This window comes from Homo sapiens, chromosome 3 (assembly GCF_000001405.40).
Source record: "Homo sapiens chromosome 3, GRCh38.p14 Primary Assembly".
Lineage (NCBI taxonomy): Eukaryota > Metazoa > Chordata > Mammalia > Primates > Hominidae > Homo > Homo sapiens.
In genome coordinates, this window is record NC_000003.12 from 185,509,350 (window position 1) to 185,528,627 (window position 19,278).

Below are 19,278 nucleotides of genomic sequence, written 5' to 3' on the forward strand. Positions count from 1 at the left end.
CAGGCACGGTGGTTCACGCTTGTAATCCCAGCACTTTGGGAGGCCAAGGCGGGTGGATCACCTGAGGCCAGGAGTTGGAGACCAGCCTGACCAACATGGTGAAACACTGTCTCTACTAAAAATACAAAAAATTAGCTGGGCGTGGTCGCGTGTGCCTGTAATCCCAGCTACTTCGGAGGCTGAAGCAGGAGAATTGCTTGAACCCAGGAGGTGGAGGTTGCAGTGAGCCAAGAACGCGCTACTACTGTACTCCAGCCTGGGTGACAGAGCGAGACTCCGTACCAAAAAAGAAAGAAAGATGTAAAATTGTATTTACCATGTAAGTTCAGCTTTAAAAACAATAAAAGAAAGGAAGATTATATAGAAATAACAATAAATATTAGCAGTGGTTGCCTCTGAATAATGACAATATGGGTGATATTTTTCTGTTTCCTGACAATTTCTGTACTTTCTAGATTTTGTCAAATAAACATATATTGTCTGATATTCAGGGCAAAAAAAGTATTAAAAAGTTTTAGGATGTAATGACTATCCTCTTAGGAGAAACTTGTACTATTAAATGTTTTAAGGTACCCTAAACTTTCTTTTTTTGTTTTCTTTTTTTTTTTTTTTTTTGAGACAGGGTCTCACTCTGTCACCCAGGCTGGAGTGCAGTGGTACGATCTCGGCTCACCACAACTTCTGCCTCCCAGATACGAGCAATTTTCCTGCCTCAGCCTCCCGAGTAGCTGGGATTACAGGTGCACACCACCACTGCCCAGCTAATTTTTTATATTTTTGGTAGAGACGGGGTTTCACCACATTGGCCAGGCTGGTCTAGAACTCCTGACCTCAGGTGATCCGCCCACTTTGGCCTCCCAAGGTGCTGGGATTACAGGCATGAGCCACCGTGTTCAGTCCCTAAACTTTTAAGAAAAAGGAATTCACAAAGTACTAACTACTCACATCATTTCCTGTCTCCCTCTCTGTCCACAGGTTAGATGCTAGGACTATATGGTAGACTGGCATTTGTCACAAAACATACATGTCAACACAGCTCTGTACTTAAATAATAATTCTTTCTCTCCTTCTCGCCCTCTTTCTCTGTTTCTCTCTCTTTCTCTCCCCAAACATACATTGTTTATTTTTTCTGGCACAATTGAGAATAGATTGTTTACTCCTTAATACTTCATTGTATATTTCCTAAGAACAAGGACATTTTCAGTGCCATTATCAAATTTAAGAAATTCAATATAATACTTTTGTACTGTCAAGGGTACAGTGGCTCATGCCTGTAATCTCAGCAATTTGGGAGACAAAGGCGGGCGGATACTTGAGGCCAGGAGTTCAAGACCAGCCTGGCCAACATGGCGAAACTAAAAATACGAAAATATTTTTTTCTACTAAAAATACAAAATCACAAATACAAAAATTAGCTGGGTGTGGTGGACGTGCCTGTGGTCAAGGGAATAAAATGTTCCAATTTTCTGTACCTTTTTTTATACTAGGCTCTGTTTAATCAGCTTGCCAAATTATCCAAAGCTTTCTTTTCTACAACAAATTACCAGCTTACAAGCAGTGTGGTAGTTAGGGAAGAACTGTATAGTTCTAAGCATATAACAACATTATTTCCTTGGATTACTAGGCCATCTACCTTATCTACCTTTAAGTACATGCAGTATAATTTTCTTGGATTACTGGGCTACCTGTTTTTATTTTTAAAATTTTTTATTTAATTTTTTGTTTTTATTTTGAGATAGAATCTTGCTATGTTGCCCAGGCTGGACTTCAACTCTTGGGCTCAAGTGATCCTCTCACCTCAGCCTCCTGAGTAGTGGGATTACAGTCATGTACCATCAAATGCAGGTGGGCTGGGCCACTTGCTTTCTGTTTTGGGTTGTTTTTTTTTTCTTTTTTTGTAGAGACAGGGTCTCCATACGTTGCCCAGGCTGGCTAGAACTCCTGAGCTGAAGCAATCCTCCCAGCTTGGCCTCCCAAAGTGCTGAGATTATAGGCTTGAGCCACTACACTTGGCCTGGGCTACTTGTTTATAATAAAAACTATTTTTGGAAAACCCATCATGTCCCTCATTGTGAATAATAGAGTCTTATTAACACATCAGACCAAGCAGATTGGACAGGATCCAGCAACATCTTTGGAAAACAGCGTTTTGTCAAACCGTACCCTCAGCTCACCTCTCCGGATGGGCAAGGGACCTTAACTTCATTCGGAGAATCCTGAGCTTGTACCTTGGGCCTATTAGAGATCCTGTAGAGAACATCAAGGAAATTGCAGCCACTTTATCCAGATCTTGATTAAATCTTGCAAGTAGACTCACTTGGTGATATTTCTGAAATGTGGTGGGTTCACTGGAAGGAAGAAGTAATACTGAAAAATGGATAAAGACTACTAATGAGAGAAAGCAGTTTTGAAGCCTGCAAGTCACTGGTAAGCTGGTAACTATTTCACCCCATAGCCTGCACCAGCTGACTTTTTTTTTTTTTTTTTTTCTGAGACAGGGTTCACACTGTTGCCCAGGCTGGAGTGTAGTAACCACCCAAGAACTAGTCAACTTTGATGGGCAAAGTCTGCTGACTCCAAAGGGCGATGTAAGTGACCCAAAATGACATTAGAGAGGCACGATGCTAATGACTGCCTAGTACACACCAGATGATGTCCTTGTCTCTCGACTCATCTCTCCAACTCCCCAGAACATTCCGCAAGGGGGGCATTATTCTCCTCATTTAATAGACAGAAATAGATGCTTACAGAGATCAAGCTCCCCAGGTGACAGGCCTTATATGTAGCAGTGAAGAGATTCCAACCCAGTTCTGGCTGAGTTCAAAGTTATGATCTTTCCGTTAAACTGCATCCCTAGATGCCTAAGTATATCTTTAGCCAAAATAGATGCTAACTGAATTGTGCTGTAGCATGTATTTTTTTTAGTTCTCCCTCTCAAGATGAACCTTAAAAAAGGCAAATCCAGAGTCTGATCCTGTTATCCAAGTGTATAGAGATGTTTTCTATAGGTGGAAAACCAAATTGAAGGTAAGGCATATCACTGGAGAGGTTCAGCTCACTCACTGTCTTTCTGGGGAGGTGGAAGAACCATGGAGCCCCTGGCTTTGGGAACAGAAGGCTTGCTCTAGACATTAATCCTTTTTTTTTTTTTTTTTTTGAGATGGATTCTTGCTCTGTTGCCCAGGCTGGAGTGCAGTGGTGTGATCTCGGTTCACTGCAACCTCTGCCTCCTGGGTTCAAGTCATTTTCCTGCCTCAGCCTCGCGAGTAGCTGGGATTACAGGCACCTGCCACCCCTCCTGGCTAATTTTTGTATTTTTAATGGAGACAGGGTTTCACCATATTGGCCAGGCTGGTCTTGAACTCCTGACCTCAGGTGATCCGCCTGCCTCGGCCTCCCAAGGTGCTGGAATTACAGGCATGAGCCACCGAGCCTACCCAACATTAATCCTTACTTTGGGAATGGGGTAATCGTGACGAGGTATCTGTCACCCCACTGGGATCATGTCTAAGTCCCATGGAGTACAGAAGTGCCACAAATAAAACTAATCTAAGAGGTGCCCAGATTTTGTTTTCTTAACACCATCTCTACTGAAAGAAACCAGAGCTCCCTGGAGAAATGGTTGATTCCATGGCTGGGGCAGGAAACGTGCAAAGTGATCCTGGAAACCCGTGTGCCAGAAAGTTAGTAAGTGTTTTAAACAGTGATGGAAGCCGGGCACGGTGGCTCATGCCTATAATCCCAGCACTTTGGGAGGCTGAGGCAGGCAGATCACAAGGTCAAGAGATCGAGATCATCCTGGCCAACATGTGAAAACCCGTCTCTACTAAAAATATAAAAATTAGCTGGGCATGGTGGCTCACGCTTGTAGTCTCAGCTACTCAGGAGGCTGAAGCAGGAGATTCGCTTGAACCTAGGAGGTGGAGCTTGCAGTGAGCCGAGATCAGGCCACTATACTCCAGCCTGGTGACAGGGCAAGGCTCTGTCTCAAAAAAAAAAAAAAAAAGATGTAAATGTTCAAAAGACACAGAATCATCTCACACCCATCCAGATGGTTAATATCAAAATAATAGAACATAACAAATATTGGTGAGGATGTGGAGAAACTGGATCCTGTATGCACCATCAGTGGGATTGGAAAATTGTGCAACCATTAAGGAAAACAGTATAGTGGTGTCTCAAAAAATTAAAAAGAGAACTACAATATGATCCAGAAACTCCACTTCTGGATACAAGTCCAAAAAAATTGAAAGCAGAGTCTCAGACATTTGCACACCCATGTTCATAGCAGCACTAGTCACAATAGCCAAGAGGAGGAGGCAACCCAAGTGTTCATTGATGGAAGAATAAACAAAATGTGGTATATGCATATAATCAAATATTACTCAGCCTTAAAAATGAAGGAAATCAGCCAGGCGCGGTGGCTCACACCTGTAATCCCAGCACTTTGGGAAGCCGAGGCGGGCAGATCATGAAGTCAGGAGTTTGAGACCAGCCTGGCCAGCACGGTGAAACCCCGTCTCTACTAAAAATACAAAAAATTATCTGGGCATGGTGGCATGTGCCTGTAGTCCCAGCTACTCAGGAGGCTGAGGCAGGAGAATCGCTTGAACCTGGGAGGAGGAGGTTGCAGTGAGCTGAGATGTTTTGATGTATGTATACAATGTGGGATAATTAAATCAGCATATTCATTTGTTGTTTAAATCCTTTATCGAAAACAAGGATAACTTTTGTATTACATGTTTAATCAAAGGAAGTAAGGAGGAGAGGAACAAAGGGAGAAAGAGAGGGAAAGAGGGAGGAAAGGAAGGAAAAAGGGAGGAAGCAAAGAAAGGAAGAAGAGAAGGAGGGAAGGAAAGAAAACCCTTGCACCAATCCCATTTGTAAAGACCCTGGGAGATCAAGAACCAGGGAAGCAACTAAGCAATAGTTCCCCTTATATCTTTTATAGAACAAGGAAAAGCATAGATCTATAAATAAGAAAGTAGGTGGATTTGTGATTTAATTTCTCTGAGCAAAAAGGGAAATAGCGCACTGCAAACAATTGTAACTCAACTTACTGATTGATTTTGGATTCTGTGGTGTTTCCAGCTTTGTCTCTCAATTTGATGGTAATGTCCCCTCTTCTTACATTCTTGTTCCATGTTATAATATCCACAAAGTAATGATACACTGCAAAACAGAGAGAGAACACGGTAAGAGAGAGATACTACCAACTGATCCCCTGAAGGGCTGGTTCCTAAAAACTGAACCTCCCTAATCACTGAGTCTCTTCTTCTCTTTCTCTCTGGTTTCTCTGCAAAGATCCAGGGCAGAAGTTTCTAATATTCCCTTCTCTTCTCTTTGGTAAAGATGGCATGAGTGATAGCAGAGTTCATTGGTTTCCAGTCACCATGGTCAGGCATCATCGTTGAACCAGTGTTTCCAGGTATTGTGAAGTCTTAGGGCTTATGGCTGAGTGTGGTTCACATCAATTCCTGCCCATTTTAGACTCAACCAACTAAGGGGCCATTCGGAGACCCTCCAGGGCTGAGACGGTTTTCCACAGTTTGGGCCAAGTCCACCAGCCTACTCAGCCTTCCTCATCCTTCTCCCAATCATGCTCCACCACCTGCACTCCCTGCACTGTGAAGGCTCCTGGGCCTTCACCCACCTGGGCACGCTTACTTTGCCAGCTCTGTGAATCCACCTTTTAGGTTTCAACTTAATGTCATTCCTCCAGAAGGCTTTTCCTGACCCCCAGACTAAGTCAGGTCTCCTTTCTTGAAGTTCCTGCCATACTCTGGACTCTCCCCATTATTATTCAGCACACTTTCCTGTATTTACAAAATGCAAGAAAGGGTGATAATAAAAATAAAGTGGCATTCCCTAACCAGCAGACTCAGAGAAAAAAAAAGTGGTGAATATGTGGGTACATCTATACAAATGTTACCTGAATAATGTCTTATGGGTTTTTTTAAAAAAAAAAAAGATAAAATTAAAACACGCTACAACAGGAACTAATCAGGGAGATGACAGTCCCACGAAGGAATAAGGTCAGTCCTGGATTTGCCATTTTATGGCCCAACTTGCTCAGGGGCTTGCCCCATACAGACCAGGTAGGTGCCAAATCCTGGGCTGCCACACATGGCTCCAAAGAAAGAGGGAAACCCAGTGATCTGCAGGCTTTTTTTTTTTTTAAAAGAATCTCTCTGTGTTGCCCAGGCTGGAGTGCAGTGGCGTAATCTCGGTTCACGGCAACCTCTGTCTCCTGGGTTCAAGCAATTCTCCAGCCTCAGCCTTCTAGGTAGCTGGGATTACAGGCAAGCACCACCACGCCCAGCTAATTTTTATATTTTGTTTTTGGGGTTTTTGTATTTTTAGTAGAGATGGGGTTTCACCATGTTGGCCAGGCTGGTCTCAAACTCCTGGCCTCAAGTGATCCGCCCGCCTTGGCCTCCCAAAATGCTGGGAATGCAGGCGTGAGCCACCATGCTTAGCCTCCAGGCTCTTTTAAAAGAGTTGCTCACACCTGGCATGGAAGTTCACACCTGTAATCCCAGCACTAAGGCAGGAGGATTGCTTGAGCCCAAGAGTTCAAGACCAGCCTATGCAACATAGTGAGATTCTGTCTCTAAAAGAAACAAAAAAAACAGTTAGCTGGGCATGGTGGCGCATGCCCGAAGTCCCAGCTACTTGGGAGGCTGAGGCAGGAGGATTGCTTGAGTCCAGGAGGTTGAGGCTGCAGTGCCCCATTATTGTGCCACTGCACTCCAGCCTGGGTGACAGAACAAGACCCTGTCTCAAAAAAAAATTAACATAGCCTGGGCATGGTGGCTGATGCCTGTAATCCCAGCGCTTTGAGAGGCCAAGGCAGGCAGATCACCTGAGGTCAGGAGTTTGAGACCAGCCTGGCCAACATGGCAAAACCCCGTCTCTACTAAAAATACAAAAATTAGCCAGGCATGGTGATGCACACCTGTAGTCTCAGGTACTCGGAATCCTGAGGCAGGAGGATCGCGTGAACCCAGGAGGCAGAGATTGCAGTGAGCTGAGATTGCGCCACTGAACTTCAACTTGGGTGACAGAGTGAGACCCTGTCTCAAAAAAAATAAATAAAATGAAATAAAATAGTTGTTCCCAAGGAAAGTGAAAATGGGTACAAGACTGTAGGAAAAACACATCTGCCCAAGGAAATTCTAGTTGCTTCCCAAGGCGTCTAATCATTGGCTGCCCCCTTTAATTCCCATCTGGAATACTCAACCTCTCGAGGCCTTTGGGTCATCATGTTTGCTTTAGAGCTGGAACTGACCTGTAGATATGGCTGACACCTGATTTTTCCTAGTCTTAATTTTATGTCTTTTGGGGAATCAAGCAATTTTCTGGAAGATCTTAGTGATTAGAATGGTCATCCAGTGAAACTAACAACTCTGATTTGTTGAGATTTTATTAAATTAATATTTTTAAATGGCATCAGATTAAACCTAATATCCCAGAATACAGGCATTATTACCCCCATTTGACCAGTCAGGACATTGAGACTCAGAGAAGTCAAATGACTTCACCAAGGTCCCACAGCTATTATGTGGTAGACTCAGGAGTCAACCGAGGCCCTTCCAGCTCCAAAGTTGATGCTTCATCATGGCTCTTATTTGCCAAGAAGTAGCCAGGAAGCTGAGACTCAGCCATCCCCAAAATGAGAGTTAGGCAAAAGCCAACAACCACATTCACCACTCACTGCAGAATGGGCTCTCCTCAGCTGTGTCAAAGAATGCCTTCGTCATTGGAGGATCTTTCCCCCTTAGATGGTCTTTCCAATTATCAGCATAATAGCCTATGAAACAAGTTTAAAAAATTGTAAGATTAATATGTATTATACAAACATAAAAGCAACTGAGGTAGCAAGAACATTGAGTTTGACTGTATCCACCACTTCTGAGAGAAACTCCATCCCACCTCCATCCCCCATGGTGAGGGCCTGCAGGGTGACCCATCTTGCTGGCCAACCCTGTCCCTAAGAGCTGAAGGGCAACAGGACCCTCCAGTTGTTTTCCCCCTTTACTGGTTCTCAGTAGCAGGGTGGAGAGGTGTGGGGTGTGGCACACACTGGTGTGGACTAAAAATAACACTGACATTTTTCAGTAATACATTCATTTTCTAGATTAAAACAGATTCAAGTTCATACCTAAAATAGCATCACTCTTGAAAACCAATATGCTTTCTTGAAGAACTACAATGGGGCCCCTAAATTGCATAGACCTGGGCTTGCCACATGACTGACTGTGTCACTAAGCAGGTGAGTGTCCTCCTTTGTTTTTGCTGTCCAGAGGGCCCTCTTTCTCTCCTCTGTCCCTAGCCCTAGAGAATGGCCTTCACATTCTGCCTTAATTGATCCAGGGTGGGACCCAGGCATCAGTATTGTGTTAAAACTCCTTAGGTGATTCTAAAGCACAATCAAGGTTGAGAACCCCTTGTCTATACCATGCCCTGTTGTTAACTTGGATTTTTCCTTTTGGAAAAAAAATAGAAAATCCTCATGACCATCCAGTTTCAAAGTCCTAACCACCTAGAATATCTGTACTAATCCCTAGCGAATATCCAAGCAGCCTCCACAATATCTATTACCTCACTCCACCTGCTGTACGTGCACACAAGAGCCAGAATGTGGAGTGAGGGCATTTACATAGACATGAGTCTGTGAAAAAGTTCACTTGTCAGGAGAGTCTCTGGGCTCATTGTGGACCCTCTCCCAGCAGAGAGGTTGTAAGCACAGAAAGGGTATTCCTGTCCCCACAGGAGCAGGCTACGTAGAGTGACTGTACCCTGGGTAAGCTTGGAAACTCTTCTGTAACCTTCTTTTCCATGCTAGAATAGAGGGTCCAGGGAGGCTGTACTGCCTTCTGGATGGAATACTCTACAGTTGCTTTTCTTTTCTTTTTTCTTTCTTTTGTTTGTTTGTTTGCTTTTTGAGACGGAGTTTCACTCTTGTTGCCCAGGCTGGAGTGCAATGGCGCGGTCTCAGCTCACTGTATCCTCCGTCTCCCAGGTTCAAGTGATTCTCCTGCCTCAGCCTCCCAAGTAGCTGGGATTTCAGGCGCCCGCCACCATGCCCAGCTAATTTTTTTGTATTTTTAGTAGAGATGAGATATCACCATGTTGGCCAGGCTGGTCTCAAACTCCTGACCTTGTGATTCGCCCACCTCAGCCTCCCAAAGTGCTGGGATTACAGGCGTGAGCTACCATGCCCAGTCTACATTGCTTTCTAACACTGTTTATTAGTAGGAGACTAGAGTAGTTCAAAGAACAAATTGGCTAGAAAAAGCTGACTAGAAAAAAAAAGTCTATTTTTAAAATTTTTTTCTTTTTAAGAAATTTTTTTTTAAATTTTAACCTTTTATTTATTTATTTTTGGAGACAGGGTCTTGCTCTGTGACCCAGGCTGGAGTGCAGTGGCATGATCTCAGTTGACTGCAGCCTCAACCTCCTGGGCTCAAGTGATCCTCCCACCTAAGCCTCCTCTCGAGTAGCTGGGACTACAGGCACGCACCACCACACCCGGCTACTTTTTGTATTTTTGTAGAGACAGGGATTCACCATTTTGCCCAGGCTGGTCTCAAACTCTTGACCTCAAGTGATCCAGCTGCTTCAACCTCCCAAAGTGCTGGGATTACAGGCATGAGCCACTGTGCCCAGCAGAAAAACAAGTTTTTAATACAATTATGGGGCCAGTTTTTACATGATAAAGTGGTTCTGGGATTCATACCAAAAATTAGTTCTTTGTGAATCAGAGAGGAAACTGCTGGTTAGACTTACCCAGAAGGGGACAGGACTCTTTTTGTGACGTGCCGCAGCTGACACACTTGCCATTCCTATAATCCTGGTAGGAGTCACAGGGATACGCAGTGATGGTGCAGCTCTCTCTCAGGGAAGACAGGTACAGGTATACAGACCTCTGGTGGTCACATTTAAAATACTGAAATCCTTGGTTGTAAAAGAAGTGATGAAAGAGTAGAGCGGTTGAAGCATTTAGTAATACTATATCACATATTCTATACACACACAATTTCTCATCTGGCCCTGCGCTCTTTCAGTGTATTTTATTTCATTTAATCTTTATAAAATCCCATAGATAAGAATTCATGCTGGCAAGTGGGAGGAGAAAAGATGAAATCAAATTAAGGTTGTGGCAAGAATTAGAGCAAATATGCTTTGGTGAAAGACCCAGGGCCAGGTGCAGTGGCTCACGCCTGTAATCCCAGCACTTTAGGAGGCCGAAGCAGGTGGATTGCCTGAGGTCAGGAGTTCGAAACCAGCCTGGCCAACATGGGGAAACCCCGTCTCTACTAAAAATACAAAAATTCGCTGGGCGTGGTGGTGGGCACCTGTAGTCCCAACTACTCAGGAGGCTAAGGCAGGGAGAATCGCTTGAACCTGGGAGGCGGAGGTTGCAGTGAGCCGAGATTGTGCCATTGCACTCCAGCCTGGGCAACAGAGTGACACTCCATCTCAAAAAAAAAAAAAAAAAAAAAAAAAAAAAAAAGACCTTGATTGCTCACGTAGCAATCGAGGTATCTTTCACTGTCATCCAATGCTTGATCCATAGATTGCCTGCATCAAAATCGTGCTTATTAAAATACAGAGTTCAGGTCCACCCTCAAATATTTCTAATTCAGAGGAGGCGCAGGCATCAGTATTTTAACAAACACTGTCCCCTGTCTTCCATGCGGTCCTGAAGCATGTAAGTTTGAAAGCCCCTGGTCTAACATTGCAGGGCTACTTCAGACTACAAAGTTGCTGTGTCTGCTCATCAAGCTGACATGGTGAGGGTGCTTGGGTCCAAGGCCAACTTTCCCCAGGTCATGGAGAATCAGAAGGAATTACCAAAATCGTTATCATAAAAGTAAATTGCTGGCTGGGCATGGTGGCTCACGCCTATAATCCCAGCACTTTGGGAGGCTGAGATGGGTGGATCATGAGGTCAGGAGTTCAAGACCAGCCTGACCAACATGGTGAAACCCCGTCTCTACTAAAAATACAAAAATTAGCCGGGCATGGTGGCGCGCCTGTAATCCCAGCTACTTGGGAGGCTGAGGCAGGAGAATCGCTTGAACCTGGAAGGCGGAGGTTGCAGTGAGCCGAGATCGAGCCACTGCACTCCAGCCTGGGCGATAGAGCAAGACTCCATCCCAAAAAAAAAGAAAAAAAAAAGCAAATTGCAAATCATTAACTAATTCCTCTTCATTCTGCCTTTTCATATAATATATTTACTTAGAGAAAGGTTGAAAAATGCAAACAACTAGCTTCAGTCATGGAGCTCTCTCACTCCCCTGCCACATTTATTATGGGAATTTTCAAACCAGGCACAAAAATCGAGAGAAGGATACAAAGAACCCTCATGCCCATATCATCCCCGCTCCAGTAATTGAGTAATTATCAAAATTCTCCCATTCTTATTTCACTTACTCTCCAGCATTGTGGCATTTAAAAACCAATCTTTCACTGTTAAATATCACTATTAGATCTAATCAAGTACTAGCTTCTATCTTTTTTTTTTTTTTTGAGATGGAGTCTCGCTCTGTTGCCCAGGCTGGAGTGCAGTGGCATGATCCCGGCTCACTGCAACCTCTGCCTCCTGGGTTCAAGCAATTCTCCTGCCTCAGCCTCCCGAGTAGGTGAGATTATAGGCTCGTACCACCACTTCCGGCTAATTTTGTATTTTAGTAGATACAGGGTTTCACCATGTTACCCAACCTGGCCTTGAACTCCTGACCTCAGGTGATCTGCCCACCTCAGCCTCCTAAAGTGCTGGGATTTCAGGCATGAGCCACCATACCCGACTGAGTACTAGCTTCTATCTTGAATAGAATAACTTTGACTCTGCTTTTCTCAATGTATGGACTTTACCTATTTAGTTCACCATGGTAGTTTAACTATTATGCTGTTCTGAACTGTTATACTATACTGAACTGTTCTCCTTTAGTTCCAGATCATAACACAGTGCCAGACACATGGCAAATTAATAGGTATTTGTTGGATGAATGAATAAATGCAACCTCTAGTGGGTTCCGCTGTTTGCTGAAACCCCTCTGCTTTATTTCTGCTCGAGGGTTTAACTGGAAGCCTGGTTCTTATGAGCTTCCTCGGTCTGGTACTGTTCAGTGCCAGTAATCCCAACAACTGCCAAAAACTCAAGAGCAAGAGTCATTCAGATTCCTGCCACATTTTTCATTCATGTCAAAGGCAACGGGGCCTGGCACTGCACAGAAACCAGGCAGGCAATCAAGAGAGACATGGCGGACACCTGCCAGATGTTGAGGGTCATTGGAAAATACAACTGCTCAGTAGTTCCAAAATGCTAGTAAGTTCCAAAAAGTCCAGTAGTTCCATTTCTGGACTAGTGCTGGTTTATGACAATGTGTTCACGAGTCTGTAGTAGAGTATGGGAACCACACAGATGAGACAGTGACTATTTCATTAAGCTAACTGCAATTAATGTAAAGTTCTGCATGCTCTGGATTTATATCCTTTCTTTTGTTGGGTGTATGTGTTAAAATGCCCTTTATTTTATGGAAATAGATGTATTTTTGTGGTTTAGGATTTTTTCCTAACTCAGCAAATTAAGTATCCCAAAGTTGTTTTCAAATATTTTAAAACCAGTAATGTATATATTGTACTTATAACTGCTGAAATAGAACCATCAGAAACACTATCGACAGCCAGGAATGGTTGTTTGTGCTGGGCCCCTGTTGACTTCAGTAAGGATGACACCAGGTTCAAAAGGCTAAAGAAGATACCTAGAGCCAGTGAACAAGACCTACAGCTTATTGGAGGAACTTACATACAGGGACCGTCCAGTGACAACAAGCCGGACATAAGAACTGCAACCACTTGTAAAAAGCATGCAGTTGTTACAGCATCTTCACTTAGCACCCTCACCCTACCCAGCAACCTCCACATGGCAACCCTCATTACTGAAGTGTTGTTGTCAGCTGTGTCTGCCGTAAGGGTCATTCTCAGGGTATGCTGACGTTATTGCTGTCAGGTGTAGCTCACACCTGTAATCCTAACACTTTGGGAGGCCAAGGCAGGAGGATCGCAAAGAAAGAAGAGAAAGGAAGGAAGGAAGGAAGAAGGAAAGGGAAGGGAAAGGAAAGAAGGAAGGAAGGAAAAGGAAGGAAGGAGGGAAGGAAGGAAGGGAAAGGAAGGAAGGAAGAGAGGAAGAAAGGAAGGAAGGGAATGAGGGAAGGAAGGAAGCAAGGAGAGAGAAAAAAGAAGGAAGGGAGGGAGAGAGAAAGAAAGAAGGAAAAGAAAGAGAGAAAGAAAAAGAAAGAAAGAAAGAAAGAAAGAAAGAAAGAAAGAAAGAAAGAAAGAAAGGTGGCCGTCATATTCTGTCAGTCAGCTCACTTTTATGTTGCCCTCTAACTCCCCATTTATGTTTTAGAGTTTTTTCTCATTGTAAAAGTAATATAAAATTATTTGAAAAACACAAAATGATAGGAAATAGTGATGCAAAAACACCTAAAAATCTGATATCAACAGATTGCCAGTAATAATTACTTGGAGCATTTACTTTTAGTCTTTTTATCTATATTTACATCTGTACAAATACAGATTCAAAAAATAAATTGGCATCATATTATATAGTTTTGTCTTTTCACTTATCACACTAAGAATTTTTATTACTCTCTGAAAATGTGACTTTTAAGAATTACATTTTTTGTGAGCATACCATAATTCATTTAATACTTTTTGTAAGCTGGCCATTTAAATTATTTCAAAAGCTCTAATTATTATAAATAATGTATGTTGAACATCTTTGCACTCTAATTCTTGTCTGCATTTTCCATTATTTCTCTAGGAGCAATTTCCAGGTGTGGAATTTCTAGATCAAAGACATACCTTTTCAAGAGAGAGAAATAATTCATAATAGCTTTCAAACATGTGGCTATAGTTTTAAAAGTAGTATATTTGAGTTATAATTTATAATTTATATTTATACTACCTGTATCTTCTCAGGAAGTTTGTTTTCTATTAAAAATTACTGCACGTAGAATAATGTCAGATTTTAAAGATATGCCTTTTTCTTTTCTTTTTTGAGACAGGTCTCACTCTGTTGCCTAGGTTAGAGTGCAGTGGCATGATCACGGCTCACTGCAACCTCTACTTCCCAGGCTCAAGCAATCCTCCCACCTCAGCCTTCTGAGTAGCTGAGCCCACAAGCATGCCACAACACCCAGCTAATTTTGTTTTTATTTTTTGTAGAGATGGCATCTCCCCTCTGTTGCCCAGGGTGGTCTTGAACTCCTGGGCTCAAGCAATCTTCCCACCTTGGCCTCCCAAAGTGCTGGGATTACAGGTATGCACCACTGCACCTGGCCAAAATATGCCTTTTTTTTAATTTTTATTTTTTTGAGATGGAGTATCACTCTTGTTGCCCAGGCTGGAGTGCAGTGGCGTGAACTCGGCTCACCGCAACCTCTGTCTCCCAGGTTCAAGAGATTCTCTTGCCTCAGCCTCCCGAGTAGCTGGGACTACAGGCATGCGTCACCACACCTGGATAATTTTTTGTATTTAGTAGAGATGGGGTTTCACTATGTTGGCCAGGCTCGTCTCAAACTCCTGACCTCAGGTGATCCACCCGTCTCGGCCTCCCAAAGTGCTGGGATTACAGGCATGAGCCACCATGCACAGCCTCCAAATATGCCTTTTTATACCACTATTTTACAAAATATAAAGGCTTACCTCCCAATATTGTTTTGGGGCAGCCAGGTTGATCCAATCCTCCATTTGGGTAGAAGTCTATGTTTCCTAATGGCTCCTTGTAGCCCAGTGCTAAAAGAGAACACATTCTGCTTTTATACTCCTTTGAATTTTTCCTATCTCACAGCTCATTTGCCTGCCAGGTATAAGCAGGAATTGTATTATTATTGTTGTTTATCATTATTGTTATACCTATGTAAGAGTTTTGCCCAAAGTCACCCAGCTAGTTAGTTAGAAGGCAATGATTTCCAACTAGGTTAACTGTGAAGATGGTAAGGAATTTACTTCCAATATTTCTAACAACCCTAGGGAGTTTAGTCACTCATCCACTGCAAGGCTAATAAAATGATACATTTCTTCTCTTTTTTTTTTTTTTTTTGAGATGGAGTCTTGCTCTGTCGTCCAGGCTGGAGTGCAATGATGCAATCTCTGCTCACTGCAACCTCCACCTCCTGGGTTCAAGCGATTTTCCTGCCTCAGCCTCCCGAGTAGCTGGAATTACAGGCATGTGCCACCATGACCAGCTAACTTTTTGTGTTTTTAGTAGAGACGGGGTTTCACCATGTTGTCCAGGCTGGTCTTAAACTCCTGACCTCGCGATCTGCCCGCCTCGGCCTCCCAAAGCGCTGGTATTACAGGCATGAGCCATTGCGCCTGGCCCCATTTCTTCCTTATGTTTTGCTGCAACCCTTTAATTGCCTGGTGCTTCTGAGCCTCTATTTGCATTTGTATAACTAATAAATAGGATACAGGAAAAAATGAATGTTTACTTAGTAGATAAAATCTTTAAATATTTGAGAGCTAGGATGGTAAAAAGATTGGAACTACTTCTAGAAAATGAGGACCTAGAAATGTATATATAGGTCGGGTGCAGTGGCTCACCCCTATAATCCCAGCATTTTGGGAGGCTGAGGTGGGAGAATCGAGGCCAGCCTGGGCAAAATGGCGAAACCCCGTCTCTACAAAATATACAAAAATTAGCCAGGCATTGTGGTGTGTGCCTGTAGTCCCAGCTACTCAAGGGGTTGAGGTGGGAGGATCACTCGAGCTAGGAGGAGGAGGGTGCCGTGAGCCAAAAGCGCGACTGCATTCCAGCCTGGGTGACAGAGACAGACCCTGTCTTAAAAAATAATAATAATAAACATTTTTAAAAGTATATATAGATTTAATAACTGTTTACTGTCTTTATTAAACCCCCAATCAGTAAAGTGCTTGATTTAATATAAATTAATTTAATGTAGGTGTACATACATATGCACATGTATATACATAATGCATCATAGTAATAATAATAATAGTTATTATATATTGAAAACCCACATGTGTCTCTGGGCATGGTACTAGGTGTTTCACAATGCAAAGTGGCCACTGGTAAATTCAGATGAAACAACTTAAGTGAAGATATGGGACCAGGCATGGTGGCTCACGCCTGTAATCCTAGCACTTTGGGAGGCCAAGGCGGAAGGATCATTTGAGCTCAGGAGTTTGAGACCAGCCTGGGCAACATAGTGAGACCTTGTCTCTATCAGTGAAAAAAAAGGAAGCTCAGAGGACTTAAGGAACTAACATGACATCATTAGAAAGGGCAAAACCTGGGATCTGAAGCTACATCTGTCTGATGGCAAAACTATACCCTTTCCTTCAAAATTCACTTCCCAAAAATAAATTGCTCTATCCTACTCCACCAAGCATTAAAATGTACTTTGCAAACTTCATAGTAAGAATGCCACTGTTTCACAAAGAGACAATTTCTTTCAAGGCAAATAATTGTTGGACACCACACCAGAATGCCGATGAGAGATGGCAAGGGTTTTTTTAGGTGGTTGTATCATGAAGAGAATGTCCGATTAAATGACCACTCTGCTGTTTCCTCAATCCTCCCCAAGTTCCTACTCCAGCTCTTCTCCCAGACATCTGGATATAGGTACCCATCCTTGAGTATCACCCAACCCCACATGACACGTATCCAATCCCAGACACAAAAACAGCACCGTGAAAGACAGAAATGGGCCAGCCACAGTGGCTCAAGCCTGTAATCCCAGCACTTTGGGAGGCTGAAGTGGGAGGATCGATTGATCAGCCTGGACAACATAGCGAGACCCCCATCTCTACAAAAAGAAGATAAATTTAAAAATTAAAAAAATAAAGATGGCTGGGAACGGTGGCTCACACCTGTAATCCCAGCACTTTGGGAGGCAAAGGCGGGTGGATCACCTGACCTCAGGAGTTTGACACCAGCCTGGCCGACATAGTGAAACCCTGTCTCTAGTAAAAATACAAAAATTAGCTGGGAATGGTGGTGAGTGCCTGTAATCCCAGCTACTTGGGAGGCTGGGGCAGGAGAATTGCTTGAACCCAGGAGGCAGATGTTGCAGCAAGCCAAGATCACGCCACTGCACTCCAGCCTGGGTGGCAGGAGTGAAACTCCGTCTCAAAATAATAAAATAAAATAAAATAAAATAAGATAAGATAAGATAAAATAAAATAAAAATAAGATAAAATAAAATAAAATAAAATAAAAAATAAAATAATAAAATAAAATATAAAATAAATAAAATAAAATAAAATAAAAAATAATATAATATAATATAATATAATATAAAATAAATAAAATAAAATAAATAAAATAAAATAAAATAAAAATAAAGACAGCAATGGCCAAGAAGATCTGCAGAGAGCCAGAGAGCTGTAGTTGCATCAGAGTGACTCTGTGTGGAGAGATTTAACACCTGCAGCTCAAGAAAATAAAAAGAACCAACAACACTAAGAAATCATGCATGCAAACCCAGTTGCACATAGGAAAACACTTATCTTCATGTTGAAAAAATTAGCCTGTCCTTCATTGAGCATGATGATTCCTTTAAAAATATGCCGGGCGCGGTGGCTCACGCCTGTAATCCCAGCACTTTGGGAGGCCGAGGCGGGCGGATCACAAGGTCAGGAGATAGAGACCATCCTGGCTAACACGGTGAAACCCCGTCTCTACTAAAAATACAAAAAATTAGCCAGGCGTGGCGGCGTGTGCCTATAATCCCAGATACTCGGGAGGCTGAGGCGGGAGGATGGCGAGAACCTGGGAGGCAGAGCTTGCAGTGAGTCGAGATTGCGCCACTGCACTCCAGCCTGGGCGACAGAGCGAGACTCTGTCTCAAAAAAAATTAAAAAAATAAAAATATGAAGAGACCGTGGGATAATCATCCACGCTCTAGCACAAGGTCCTGGGTGCCTACATTAAACCAGCTTCCCTTCAATATTTCGGTGGATTTGGAACCCTGCCTGGAAAAAAAAGTTAGAATCTAGAGGAACCTGATCTGCTCCTACATGATTATCTCTCCCCAGGGGACACTCTTTAGGAGCCTGGCGGTGTCACTGACCCACAAGGAAAGGAGCGTTACCATCAGTGTCGGAATGGATGACATCAACAAACTGCGCATCACTGGGATCTAATCTGTCTTGGTGAGGTTTCCCGTTGAATAAAGGGCCTGCAGGGTCGAGGCCTGGAAGGAAAACAGAGTCACTTGGCAGCCCCACACCATGAGTCACCTGCAGCCGGGCCTTTGATCCTTCTGGATGAGGGTGGCTCCCAGGCTGCAGGGCACCCTCAGGTGGGTGAGCGCTCACACTCCCGTCCCACTTGGCCAGGACTCCTTTCCATGGCTCTGCAGCTTGTTCCCACAGTGGAGACGGTTACCCTGGCTGTGCCCCTGAGAATGGCATCCAGACTCCATCAGGGGCATGTGTCATGCAGAGCTCAACAGTAGGGAACGTACACGTGTATGAGGTTCAAGGGGTGGGGATAAACGGGCGGTCCCCAGGAAAAAAGCACCAAAGGGCACATTAAAGAGAAAAGAGCAGCCTGGGCGCAGTGGCTCACACCTGTAATCCCAGCACTTTGGGAGGCCGAGGCAGGCAGATCATGAGGTCAAGAGATCAAGACCATCCTGGCCAACATGGTGAAATCCCGTCTCTACAAAAATACAAAAAAATTAGCTGGACGTGGTGGTGTGTGCCTGTAGTCCTAGCTACTCGGGAGGCTGAGGCAGGAGGATCGCTTGAACCCGGGAGGCAGAGGTTACAGTGAGCCAAGATCATTCCAGCCTGGCGGCAGAGCAAGGCTCTGTCTCGAAGAAAGAAAGAGAGAGAGAGAGAGAGAGAGAGAAAGAAAAAAAGAAAGAAAGCAAGCAGATGCTATACTCATCTTTATCCCACTTTAGATGAGGAAGAAAGAAAGAAAGAAGAAAGAAAGAAAGAAAGAAAGAAAGAAAGAAAGCGCTATACTCATCTTTATCCCACTTTAGATGACCGAGAAACCTCACTCAGCCCTTCCTTTTTGTTGTTAATAAATAAAGAACTTCCACTCTTATTCATATATGCTAGCCCCTTTGATCCATGTTGCAAACCTGTAAGGGAGGCAGGGTAGCTATTATTATTTTCCAGATGAATGAACTGTGATTCAGGAAGATCAAGAGCCTTGATCAGAACACAGCCTCTTAATGCAACCACTTCTATCTGTTGAACTCTTGGTTTCACTGCCCTGAG

The 19,278-nt window shown here is 43.4% G+C and overlaps 1 protein-coding gene across 4 annotated transcripts in view; it reads right to left on the minus strand.

Annotated features, from left to right (window-relative positions):
- Positions 1-19,278, minus strand: part of LIPH (lipase H) — a 46,327-nt gene that overhangs the window by 3,088 nt on the left and 23,961 nt on the right. For 2 of the 4 annotated variants that reach the window (NM_139248.3, NM_001438652.1), the window contains 6 exons: positions 18,135-18,236; positions 14,722-14,811; positions 9,793-9,960; positions 7,718-7,813; positions 5,061-5,172; positions 2,175-2,348 (listed from right to left, as the gene is read on the minus strand). In NM_139248.3, coding sequence (NP_640341.1) covers positions 2,175-2,348; positions 5,061-5,172; positions 7,718-7,813; positions 9,793-9,960; positions 14,722-14,811; positions 18,135-18,236 — 742 coding nt within the window. The remainder of the gene's footprint in view (positions 1-2,174; positions 2,349-5,060; positions 5,173-7,717; positions 7,814-9,792; positions 9,961-14,721; positions 14,812-18,134; positions 18,237-19,278) is intronic. The other 2 variants (NM_001438029.1, NM_001438651.1) reach the window with 2 other exon arrangements.